General features: G+C 52.6%; 2 protein-coding genes across 6 annotated transcripts in view, besides 4 other annotated features; both read left to right on the top strand.

Annotated features, from left to right (window-relative positions):
* Window positions 1–12,191, top strand: part of ANKRD11 (ankyrin repeat domain containing 11) — a 222,932-nt gene that overhangs the window by 77,609 nt on the left and 133,132 nt on the right. The window lies entirely within an intron of this gene.
* Window positions 1–12,191, top strand: part of LOC128462377 (uncharacterized) — a 101,247-nt gene that overhangs the window by 5,340 nt on the left and 83,716 nt on the right. The gene's annotated exons all lie outside the window — the stretch shown is intronic.
* Window positions 1,594–1,863: an enhancer, noted in NCBI's record as "active region_11410". NCBI's record gives its function as "activates an Ori minimal core promoter by ATAC-STARR-seq in GM12878 lymphoblastoid cells {active_cell/tissue: GM12878}" and the evidence as "EXISTENCE:reporter gene assay evidence [ECO:0000049][PMID:35858748]".
* Window positions 7,865–7,914: an enhancer, noted in NCBI's record as "active region_11409". NCBI's record gives its function as "activates an Ori minimal core promoter by ATAC-STARR-seq in GM12878 lymphoblastoid cells {active_cell/tissue: GM12878}" and the evidence as "EXISTENCE:reporter gene assay evidence [ECO:0000049][PMID:35858748]".
* Window positions 10,564–11,064: an enhancer, noted in NCBI's record as "H3K4me1 hESC enhancer chr16:89468297-89468797 (GRCh37/hg19 assembly coordinates)". NCBI's record gives its function as "activates a minimal SCP1, AML or CMV promoter by ChIP-STARR-seq in primed H9 embryonic stem cells {active_cell/tissue: H9 hESC(primed)}" and the evidence as "EXISTENCE:reporter gene assay evidence [ECO:0000049][PMID:30033119]".
* Window positions 11,065–11,565: an enhancer, noted in NCBI's record as "H3K4me1 hESC enhancer chr16:89467796-89468296 (GRCh37/hg19 assembly coordinates)". NCBI's record gives its function as "activates a minimal SCP1, AML or CMV promoter by ChIP-STARR-seq in primed H9 embryonic stem cells {active_cell/tissue: H9 hESC(primed)}" and the evidence as "EXISTENCE:reporter gene assay evidence [ECO:0000049][PMID:30033119]".

Here is a 12,191-nt window from a genome sequence, read left to right as displayed (position 1 = left end):
AGCTGGAATCCGGCTCTGAGTGCTGGGACCTCTGCTGACCTGTGACCTCTGCTGTCCTCTGTCCTCTGCTGACCTGGGAGGCATGGAGAGGTCCTGCTGGGGGACTGAGAATGGCTTTTTGTTTGTAGGTTATAATATTGCGGTTACTGTATTTCTTTTGTTAACTACAGTGATTCTCATGGGGCCAGTGTTTTATTTTTTTAATACCATCATTTTTTACAGCTGGCTTAAGGGAATTTTTTCCTCTATGTTTTTGTATCTGAGGGTGAAAAACATTTTGCCTGGATCTAGCAAAAGAGTACTCAGTAAGTTCTATTTAAATTGAAGTGAACTTTATGGATGCAAAAACACCAATGTACCTTTTTCCTGTCCTGCTTGTTTCTTCCCAGATGTAATTGGGTTCCTGTAGCAAATGGGGTAAGGGCTCTGCGTGTCTTAATACATCATTGCCACCAGAAGGCCCATTTACAACTTGCTTAGATTTTGTTGAGAAGAAGAGGAAGGTAGGAGGAAGGAGATGGAGGGTCCGGTGTGGCCTGAGCACCCCAGTACCTGGCTGAGGGGAGGGATGGGGCACGGCCAGGAGACTCTGGGAGGCATCTCAGCCCAGTACCTGGCTGAGGGGAGGGATGGGGCACGGCCAGGAGACTCTGGGAGGCATCTCAGCCCAGTACCTGGCTGAGGGGAGGGATGGGGCACGGCCAGGAGACTCTGGGAGGCATCTCAGCCCAGTACCTGGCTGAGGGGAGGGATGGGGCACGGCCAGGAGACTCTGGGAGGCATCTCAGCCCAGTACCTGGCTGAGGGGAGGGATGGGGCACGGCCAGGAGACTCTGGGAGGCATCTCAGCCCAGTAGCTGGCTGAGGGGAGGGATGGGGCACGGCCAGGAGACTCTGGGAGACATCTCAGCCCAGTACCTGGCTGAGGGGAGGGATGGGGCACGGCCAGGAGACTCTGGGAGGCATCTCAGCCCAGTACCTGGCTGAGGGGAGGGATGGGGCACGGCCAGGAGACTCTGGGAGGCATCTCACCCCAGTACCTGGCTGAGGGGAGGGATGGAACATGGCCAGGAGACTCTGGGAGGCATCTTCGTTACTGGCCATTGGATTCCTCAAGTTCTGCTGAGAATTCTAGTCTCTTTTTTTCCCCACTCTAGAATAAGGATCTTAATTATTTATTTGTGTTGTCCATTGGGAAAAATGATTTGGGATGTGCTTACTGTCAACAAGGGGATAGTGGTGGGTTCCGAATGTAAACTGGCCGTAATCCCAGCACTCTGGGAGGCTGAGGTGGGAGGATTGCCTGAGGTCAGGAGTTCGAGACCAGCCTGGGCAACGTGGCAAGACCCCATCTCTCCAAAAAATACAAAAATTAGCCAGGCGTGGTTGTGTGTGCCTGTCGTCATGGTTACTCAGGAGGTTGAGGTAGGAGGATCTCTTGAGCTCGGGAGGCAGAGGTTGTAGTGAGCTATGATCACACCACTGCACTCCAGCTCTAGGTGACAGAAGGATTACAAGAAAAAGAAAAAAGGAAGAAATGTAGACCATCTCGACAGCAAGATGTGTAGCGTCTGGCCCAGCCAGGGCAGCCTGCTCCTCTTCCGGTGCAGTCAAGGTTTCCCACCGCTGTGTGCAGGGATTCTGAAGGCAGTGCTGGCTGCTGGCACAGGGCTGCAAGTTTGAAAGAGAAGTAGAGCAAAAAGGTCCCTGGGCCCCCGTGGTGGCACCAGCACACACGAGAGGGGATGTGGTGGAGGGCACCGTCATGGAGGCGTGGCCCTGGGTGTGGACAGCCAGCGTGGGCCCGAGCCCCTGTGCTGCTGCCTTCTGCCCTGGCCACCCTTCTCTCTGCAGGCAGCTTCAGGAACCTGCCTCCTGCACTGGCCGCCCCTCCCTCTGCAGGCAGCTTCAGGATCCTGCCTCCTGCCCTGGCCACCCTTCTCTCTGCAGGCAGCTTTCAGGAAAGCGCCTGTGGAGGCCGGGCAGCCTGAACATGTTGACTTTGGCAGCAGGAGCTGCCCAGCTCTGCTTATTCTGTGGCCCAGTACATAAGGCTCTGTGTAGAACACGTGTTCACGCACATGTGGTTTCTGTCTTGCCCTGGCCACAGTTGGCCACTCCCCACCCCCTTCTGTTAAGCTTCCCATGGGCTTAGAGGGCTCTCTGCCTGGGCATGGGAAAATAAGGGAAATGAGAAGCGAGGGTTCTTTGTAAATCCAAGGATGCTTTCATAGCTTTTGGTATCGTTGACGTTTTGCTAAATGGATGATTTATTTATTAGGAAAAATAAAACTGGGATTCTTGTTCATATCTGATGGTGTCAGCACGTCAGCAGGATAGCAACTGCTTTAGGGACCTGCTTGTGTCTGGAGGGCAGAACCAGAGCAGTAAGCAGAGGGCAGAGGGTGGCCTTTGTAGCCCGGGGGCAGGTGTTTCCCTTCCGTGGCTCTGCGTGGTTCCTGACAGCCTCAGCTCTGCAGGGTGTCTTAGTCTGGTCTGAGGGCTAAGACCATCACTCCCAACACCAGTGTCCATGAGTCTTTTTCTGTTTATTATCTCCATTTCCTTGGTACAGTCAGCCTTTGTTTAAAATTTATTCTTGCTTGTTTTTTGTTAGTGGGAAAAGTTTCTAAATATCAAATCCTGGTGGCTTACTAACTACAGCTTTTGGGGATGGGCTTGGTGATGATGTTATGAGGCTTTAGGTGACACTCAAAGGGCCGTACCCACCGGGTTGGCATCTGTGAGGTGCCTGCTCCGTGTGAAATTCTGCCCTGTAGCTGAACAGCAAACTGTGTTTTAAATTTAGATTGAGGCTGGACGCGGTGGCTCACGCCTGTAATCCCAGCACTTTGGGAGGCCGAGGCGGGCGGATCACGAGGTCAGGAGATCGAGACCATCCTGGCTCACACCGTGAAAACCCGTCTCTACTAAAAATACAAAAAATTAGCCGGGCGTGGTGGCGGGCGCCTGTAGTCCCAGCTACTCAGGAGGCTGAGGCAGGAGAATGGCGTGAACCCGGGAGGCGGAGCTTGCAGTGAGTTGAGATTGTGCCACTACACTCCAGCCTGGGCGACAGAGCGAGACTCCCATCTCAAAAAATAAATAAATAAATAAATAAATTTAGATTGAAATTGAGAAGTGAGCAGAAAGATGCCAGTTTAGATGTGATCAGATTTTGTTAAAGAAATCCTATAAAATGCCAGGATATTTTGGCCTAGTAATACTGTATTCTAAACTTCAGTGTTGTAATGGAAACTTTTAGTAACACGACAACCAGTTTTCGTGTGTGTGTGTGTTTTGGTACAACAGGATCTTGCTATGTTGCTCAGACTGGCCTGGAACTCCTGGCCTTAAGCAGTCCTTCCTCCTCTGCCTCCCAACGCTGTGTGATTACAGGCGTGAGTCGCAGCACCCAGCCTTTCCTGCTCTTGTGAAAAGCTAGCTGTCTTGCTCATCTCCCTCACACCTGTATGTTTTTATGCTGTGGGCAGGGCCGTGACGTGCACAAGACGACCCACAGGAAACCCTGGCTGCAACCCACGGAGGAAGAATGGCCTGAGGATGGGGACCGCCTTCCCACCCCACCCCTGTTGATAGGTGGATCTTGAACAGAGTTGTGTTGGTGGCTAGGAGTGCTAGAACCTGTGGGGGTTTGAGCTTTCTTGTAGCCTAGTGATTTATTCTAACACCAGGACTTGGTCTGAGTCCTGTGGAGGCGGGTGGAATTGCTGAGGGAAGCTGTCATCAGGTGTGTGAGCTCATCTCATTTCCTCAGACCGTCGGCTTCACCTAAAAAATCTGTTTTCTGCTCTTTGAGGGGCCTGATACCTGGCCCCAGGGCTCACTGGCCTGGGCCCCCAGCTTCCCTTGGCTGCTCTGGCCTTTTGTGCAGGTGGCTTTTCTGAATTCTCTGCTGTGGCTGTGGCTCTTTTTGGTTTTGCTCCCAGAGGCAGGGTTGGGGCCGCCTTTTCTGTATTCCTCCTACTTTTAGAAACCGCACTCCACAGCGGCCTGTTCACTTGTATTTCCCAGTAACTCCTAAGGTCTGTGAGAGGCACATGCTCTGCTAGATATCTTCACTTATGTTCTCTTTTTTTCCTACAAAATCCCAGAAAATTGCATTTTCCTTATTTTTATTACAAGAGGAATGTAGGCCTCAAAAGATGTTTAGGAAGTAGGGTTTGAATTCAGGATTCCACGGCTGATCAGTGAAGTGAGTGAGTGAGTCCCGGGGACTCTGAGGCCAGAGGTGGTTGTATTAGCGCTGGACTCTAGGGAGGGTGGCAGGGGGTGCGAGGAGGGGCTGCTGTAGCTGTGGGCACGGCTGGGACGTCTTTCATGCTCTTCCTGAGGGTCTGAGTGTGTGTGGGGCAGTGCTCACGCTCGTCAGCCTGGGCACTGGCTGTTACACTCCTGCCAGATGCAGCTGGCCTGCGGTGTGCCAGAGCAGGGTGAGGGAATCTGGGTCGGCCACTTGCCACCACGCTCAGGGTCAGGGTGAGGCCGTTTCTAACGGCCTGTGTACCTGCCATCCTCTTCCTCCTCTGCCCAGGCAACTGGGTGCTGATGCTGGCCTTTCTGTGCATCAAACCTGGTGGTTTTGCCAGCTTCACGCCTCTTTGTCCTGGTCACCATGTCTGTGGTAGCCCAAGGCTAAAGTGAATGTGGAAGGGCTGCCACTTCTCTAGGGTGGAGAACTGGGCTTCTGAGGGAACAGCGCTGGTGTGAGCTCTCTCAGGGAGTTTCTTGGCCGAGTATCTGTATGCATCCAGTGCTTGCCACATAGTGCAGCCTTCTGGGGCCATGCGCAAGTCCTTCGAGCTGTCTTGGCCTCTCTTTGCCTGGCCAGTGGTCACACATGTGCAGTGGCTTCCTGTTTGAGTCTGGGACCAGCTTGAGGGCAGGGGCACTACCACTGCATGGCAGCTGTAGCTGGGGAGTGACCACAGTGATTTTCCACACTTCGCTATAGATGTGTTTGTTCTTTACTTAAAAACTTATCAGTTTGGCTTTTTGAAGTTAATGGAAGACTGAGTTTTACTATGTGGACAAAGGAGTTAATATTTCTTCTTCTTCTTTTTTTTTTTTTTTTTTTTTGGAGGGAGACAGGATCTGACTCTCACTCAGGTGGGAGTGCAGTGGCCGGATCACGGCTCATTGCAGCCTCTGCCTCCTGGGCTCAAGCGATCCTCCTGCTTCAGCCTCTCAAGTAGCTGGGACTGCAGGGGCACACCACAATGCCTGGCTAATTCTGTGTGTGTCTATGTGTGTGTGTGTGTGTATGTGTGTTTGATAGAGACGGCGTCTCGCCGTGTTACTCAGGCTGGTCTTGAACTCCTGAACTCAAGCAATCCACCTGCCTCGGCCTCCCAAAGTGCTTGGATTGCAGGTGTGAGCCATGTTGCGCGGCCCAGAAGGAGTTTGTTTCTTAGGTGTGTGCGGCTGTCGTGCAACAGCCCTGACGAGGCGAACGTGGTTCCTTTTTGGCTTGGGGCAGGGGCCCTGCTGGCAGGAAATGCTGGGAAGGGCCTGGGGAGGCAGCCCAGTGTTGCTGGGGCTTCCTGCTTTTATCTCGTTGTCTCTTTCTTTAAACCTCTGGCCATATCATCTATTCATCTTTTCCTTTTAATTTTTTTTTCTTTTTCCCCCCGTGTTCCTTATATAAAAATATGAGTCTTTTTCTGTCAGTCCTTTGCTGATGTTCCTCGTGTGCCTTCTTAGGTCATTCTTTTCTGTCTGCGTGTTCTTTTTTTTTTATCTTTTTGAGACGGGGTTTCGCTCTTGTTGCCCAGGCTGGAGTGCAGTGGCACGTCTCAACTCACCGCCTCCTCCGCCTCCCGAGTACCTGGGCTTCACCAGCCTCAGCCTCCCGAGTACCTGGGGTTACAGATGCCTGCCACCATGTCCGGCTAATTTTTTGTGTTTTTAGTAGAGACAGGGTTTCACCATATTGTCCAGGCTGGTCTCAAACTCCTGACCTCAAGTGATCTGCTCCCCCTTCCCCTGGCCTCCCAAAGTGCTGGGATTATGGGCGTGAGCCACCACGTCCGGCCTGATGTTCTTAATGTTGCTGATTTGTCTCCTGTTCCCTTTTCCTTTTCCCCTTCCATATTCCACAGCTGTCCTTTCTGCTGCCTCCCGGAGGGCACCCTGTCCTGGACACAAGGCTTTGTCCTGTGCTGTGGGTCATGCTTGGTGGGATCGCTTATCAGCGTGAAGGAGGCACTGAGGTCCATCTTCTTCAGAAGTCTGTCCTTCCTTCCTCCAGGCAGATGCCGGCATCACAGTCCTGGTTAACTAAAACCCTGTGTCTGATGTCCTGCCCTGGGCCTTCCTTGTCTCTTTTCTGTCCCCACCCAGACCATAAGCACTGGGGAAGCACATCTGTCTTCCTCGCTGCAGCCTCTGGTGCCTGTGTGTCTGCGTGCTGACACCGGGCATGGCCAACGAACATGTTGTCTTGTCACGGTGCACGGTGGCTCCTTTGCCCGTGCGGCCTTCTCAGCAGCTGCTGCTTCTCCTCTAGGACTGACCGCAAGTCTCAGAGCGCGCCGGCTGGTGTTTTGTCGCCCTCAGGAGTGTGGCCGAGGCCCAGGTGTGGGTTTCCCGTGCCCGCCGTGACCTGGCAGTGAGGGTCTGTGCTTCTGTCAGTGCCGTTGGCCTGAGACATGTCTGTCCTGGAGACCAGCACGTGTGGGTGCCGACTCTCAGAGAGCCCCTTGCTCACAGCACCAAACCCCTTGCTGTGTTTTTATTATTAAGAAATAGAAAACAAAGGGCATAACCAGACTTAGGACTTTGGTGATTTTCTGGCTGAAGGTTTTTTTTTTTTTTTTTTTTGAGATGGAATCTCCCTTTGTCACCCAGGCTGGAGTGCAGTTATGCGATCTTGGTTCACTGCAGCCTCTGCCTTCGGGGTTCAGGTGATTCTCCCACCTCAGCCTCCTGAGTAGCCGAGATTGCAGGTGTGTGCCACCACGCCCGGTAAGTTTTTGTCTTTTTAGTAGAGACGGGGCTTTACCATGTTGGCCAGACTGCTCTCGAACTCCTGTCCTCAGGTGATCTGCCGGCGTTGGCTCCCAAAGTGCTGGGATTATTCTTGCTGGAGCTAAGTTGGGATTGACTGCAGTGCATCCTTTGTGAGGAGCGCTGGGGGAAGGTGTGAGGAATTTGACCCCTAAGCCCCAGGGTCTGGCTGGAAGGAGGAGCTTCGTGGACAGGCCTTGAGGACGCTTTGGTGCATTTCCTGAATTGTCCCTGTGAGAACATGCCTTATCTGCAGCAGTCAGGAAGGCTGATAGGAAAGTTACCTAGAAAGCCGGGCATGGCGGCTCAGGCCTGTAATCCCAGCACTTTGGGAGGCTGAGGCGGGAGGATTGCTGCAACCCAGGAGTTCGAGACCAGCCCGGACAACATAGTGAGAACCCTGTCTCTACCAAAAAAAAAAAAAAAAAAAAATGAGCCAGGTGTGGTGGCACGTGCCTGTAGTCACAGCTAGTTGGGGAAGCCGAGGTGGGAGGATCGCCTGAGCCCAGGAGGTCGAGGCTACGGTGAGCTCATATCACACCACTGCACTCTAGCCTGCGTGACAGAGCCAGAACTTGTCTCAAAAACAGTTACCTATGTGACTAGAGGAGCTGTTTTGCAAATGTGCCCTACAGAATACAGTCATGCCCCACGTAACGGCATTTTGTTCCACAACAGACCGCATATGTGGTACCTCCTTCCACAAGATTTTTTATTTATTTATTTTTTTGAGATGGAGTCTTGCTCTGTCGCCCAGGCTGGAGTGCAATGGCGTGATCTCCACTCACCGCAACCTCGCCTCCACCGTGACACCAGGTTAACTGGTGTGGGCAGTTGTCCTGTGAGAGCGTGTGACGGGGCGTCGGGCTGTGTTGTGGGCCATGGCTCTGGTGGGATGGGAGAGGAGAAGTTTTTAGATGTTTCTTTTTGGAAGTCTGATTTCAGTTTTATTTAAAACAACAAACTACATTTATGGTGGTCTGTGGACACGATGTTTGTCCACGAGTTCACTTTACTGTAAAGGAAAGAACATCAACCAAGCAAGAGTCAATAGTGTGATTTACAGTGGTTCTTTTATTGTGTAGTACATTCAGCGTCAAGGTGGCATTTGGATCCATGATGCCTTCATCCTCAGAATGACCTTGCGAGGTAGGCGTGGCTGAGCACATGGCCAGCTGGGCCTGTCCCTGCCTGTTCTCCAGGCTTCACCTCTGTGTGCTTGTAGGAAGGTTGAACATGCCACTTTGTGGCATCCAGAGTTTCTCGCCCTCAGGATCCATAGTAGTGACTGCGTCTGTCTTCTCCTGACCTAGGCATTAGCCTGATAGAGTGCTGGTAACTTTGCGAGTCAACAGTGTTTTCAAAAGCAGCTTTTCCTTCTCTTCTCTTTACCCCATACCCTTCAAACTGTTGGCTCATTTTCTGGAGGACACCAGAATAACAAAATAATATTTTGTGGCTATTAATCCTTTAAAAGCAGAGGAAAATTTTTCCTAGCAGGAGACATAATAGGGTTGTACCTTTTCAGTGTTTTCAGTGAAGGCAATTTTTTTCATGCCCTTTGATTACAAAAATGTATTCCTTCCTGCACTTCCATTTTCCTTAGTTACACAGATGTTGATGTTCTCAGAGTCTTTGCTGGTGATTTAGTGCCTTGGTGAGGGTGGATAGGAGACTAGAACAGGGTTCTACAGTCGGCCAAACTGGGCTTCCCCTCTCAACCCCATGCTGCCTGAGGCTGGTGGGTCGAGCCACCTGTGGGCTGTGTCCATGACTGTCTGTTGGTGCTGAGAGGACTCCTGATTCTTCACAATCATGTGCCGGGCTAGCAGCTTATGTGATGCAGCGTTTGCTCTGAGAGTTTCCTGTAGTTTGGAATTTTAGTTATAAGTTTGCCATAGTTCTGAGTCTCTTGCATTCTTTCACCCTATTTTAGTTTTATAATCTTGCTCCTTTCTGTGCCCTATAATATAAAGATGTGTTGTTGTTTTGCTTTTTTAAGAGACAAGTCTTGCTTTGTTGACCAGGCTGGAGTGCAGTCATGGCTTACTGCAGCCTCAACTCTTGGACTGAAATGATGCCCCTTCCTCAGCCTTCCGAGTAGCTGGGACTCCAGACGCATGTCACCACACCCGCCTAATTTTTTTATTTTTACTTTTTTAGAGGTGGGCTTGCTCTGTTGCCCAGATTGGCCTCAAACTTATGGCCTCAAGTCATCTTCCTGCCTCAGCCTCTTGAGTAGCTGTGATTAAAGGCACGTGCTGTCGTGCTCACCTAAAGAAGTGTTTTGAAATCCCTTCCCGGGGAGGCAGCAGGGCTTTTATGTAAGTGGTCTCTGGTCTTTGTCTGTTTGGTGGTGTACTTTTTTTTTTTAAGCTACTGTCATTGCCCAGTCGTAGTTGAGCGTGTGTCCAGTTGCTTTATGTGTGGGCTTCCTGGGGGTGCCCTCCCAGAGCGCGGGGCCTCGCTTACTGAGAAACTTCCTCGGGACTTGGGTTCCCCGCTCTGCCCTCACCTGCGTGTGCTCTGCTGCTTCCTATCCTCAGACAGATGAGCTCCTCCATGTTCTTCCACGCGGTGCTGGGGCCAGTCAGGAGGGGCCGGTCAGGAGGGGGGAGCAGGCCACACAGGATTGCTCACAACATGTGCGTGGCTGGTGTGAGTGAGTGCGCATCAGATACTTCCTGTCAGTGCCCGTAAAGCAGAAGAGAGGGAGCGGATCAGGCCCTAGGGAGTGCGGGGTCCACCTGCCAACAGGAAGTTTCTCTGTAGTGTTTTACCTGAAAGCACGAGGGCACGTCACGCTGAGAGGTTGATGATGTGTCCACGTGCAGTGATGACAGCAGCGTTCCAGGCCACCCGCCACCACGCAGTTGAGCGAGGCAGTGCCCATGTGGAGCCTGGTGTTTGATGGTGGGGCTGAGGTGACTGGCCTTGCTCTAGAGCTGGAGCCCAGGCGGAAAAGAGGTCTCCACTGGCAGGCTAGGTTGCCTGCTTTGTTGGGAGTGGCGCAGTGCTGGCCCTGATGGGGCTCCTTCCCCCGGGAGAGCCTGGAGGGTCTGCAGGCCCCACCCCGCCCACCTCCTCCCGCAGTGCCGCCCCCCCAACCTCATTCCGCAGAACCCCCACCTCACCTCATCCCACAGAGCTGTCCCCTCACCTCACCCTGCAGATACCCCCTATCTCACCCCACAGAGCCCCTGCCCCCTCTCCTAACCTCGCAGAGCCACCTCACCTCCTCCCGCAGAACCACCCCCTTCACCTCACCCTGCAGTGCTGCCCCCCCCACCCACAGCTCACTCAAGGCTTGAACTCCCAGGCTCAACCAATCCTCCCACCTCAGCCTCCCGAGTAGCTGGGACTCTGCTGGTGTGCGGCACCATACGCAGCAATTTTTAAATGTTTTTCTAGAGGCGGGGTCTCCCTGTCATTCCCAGGATGCTCTTGAACTCTTGGAGTCAACCGATCTTCCCGCCTCGGCTTCCTCATGTGTTAGGTACAGGCTGAGCTACTACCTAAATTTAAATTGATGTGCCTACCGATTTAAATAAGCGCTCAATCCCAGATACCTTATTGTGGCTGGCTAAGGTTAGGAGTTCATGTGAACTGTACATTAGTATCGCTGAGACAAGCCTCGTTCTTTCTACAAAGAACTGGCGTACGTCACGTGTAGGCACCCAGATATAATTGGTTCCACATTTCGCCTGCCTTTGTTGGAAGGGCTGTGCTTTCATGCAGTGAACTGTAGGTCGTCCTCCTTACTCTAAAAGTTACACAGATTCAGTGCCTTATGGAAAAGTCAGGATTTCCATTAAAGAGGTCCATGGACAGAGAGTGAAACTTGGTGTGGGGGTCTTTCGGGGCTGCCGTGATAAATCACCACAGACCAGGAGCTTTCACAGCAAGGATCTGTTCTCCCACGGCTCTGAGACCAAGCTGTCTGCAGGGCCGGTTCCTTCTGCGGTGCTGGAGGGGTGGGGGCGGGCATCTGCTCCAGGCCTCTCTCCAGGTTCTGGGGGATGGGGGAGTCTCTGGTGTGCCCGGCGGGTTCTGGGGGATGGGGGAGTCTCTGGTGCGCCCGGGCTTGTAGACGCATCACCACGATCTCCGCCTCCCTCTTCACCCAGCGTTCTCCCTGCGTGCACAGCTCAGTGTCCACGTCTGCCCTTTGTAGAAGGAAGCTAGTTCTGTGGGGTGAGGGCCCACCCTAGCGATCTCACCTGGATCATCTGCAAAGACCATGTTTCCCAGGAAGGCCATCGTCTGTGGTGTTGGGGGGCTAGGACTTCAACATACCATTCTTGGGGGACACATTTCAACTCATAACACCAGTAAATAAAGCATAGAGAAGAAAGTAAAAATCGCCTGTAATCCTTCCACCCAAGATAAAACATGTAAATCTAAAATGTTGAATATATCATGTACTTTTTACAAAATAAGGATTACTCTGGATATAAGGCTTCACATTCTGCATTTTAAAGCTTAGCATTAATTTCCCATTATCCCAGCGTGATATTTAGTGGCTGCATAATCAAGAGAGAAATTTAATGCCAGACGCAGTGGCTCGTGCTGTAATCCCAGCACTTTGGGAGGCCAAGGTGGGTGGATCACGAGGTCAGGAGTTCGAGACCAGCCTGGCTAACATGGCGAAACCCGGTCTCTACTAAAAATCCAAATGTTAGCCGGGCGTGGTGGCGGCCGTCTTGGAAGGCTGAGGCAGGAGAATTGCTTGAACTTGGGAGGCAGAGGTTGCAATGAGTCGAGATCACACCATTGCACTCCAGCCTGAGCAGCAGAACAAGACTCCCTCTGGGGAGGGGGAGGGCGGGTGGGGGGGAGAGAGAAATATATAACATTACTGAGACAACTTGAGGGCCAGCGTGTTGTGGATTTGTCCACCCACACGCGGGGCCTCCCTTTCCATCTTGGTCTTGGGTGCCATGCCAGGCAGCCCCGGGGCAGACGGGGGATGTGTCTGTGAACCCGAGCAGGGTGGAGCCTGTGAGAGGGTGTCTGCAGAGGGTGGAGGGCGACAGGCGTCCAAGGTGTGTGCAGCTGGTCCAGGTGGCTGCAGGGGTTCCCGTCAGATGACCAGCCTCCAGCGCAGGGAAGCCTGGGGCAGCAGATGACCGGCCCCCAGCGCAGGGAAGCCTGGGGCAGCA

The sequence above is a fragment of the Homo sapiens genome, chromosome 16, assembly GCF_000001405.40.
Source record: "Homo sapiens chromosome 16, GRCh38.p14 Primary Assembly".
NCBI classification, from domain to species: domain Eukaryota; kingdom Metazoa; phylum Chordata; class Mammalia; order Primates; family Hominidae; genus Homo; species Homo sapiens.
The sequence above is the reverse complement of the archived record's forward strand: the minus strand, read 5'-3'. Positions and strand labels throughout refer to the sequence as shown.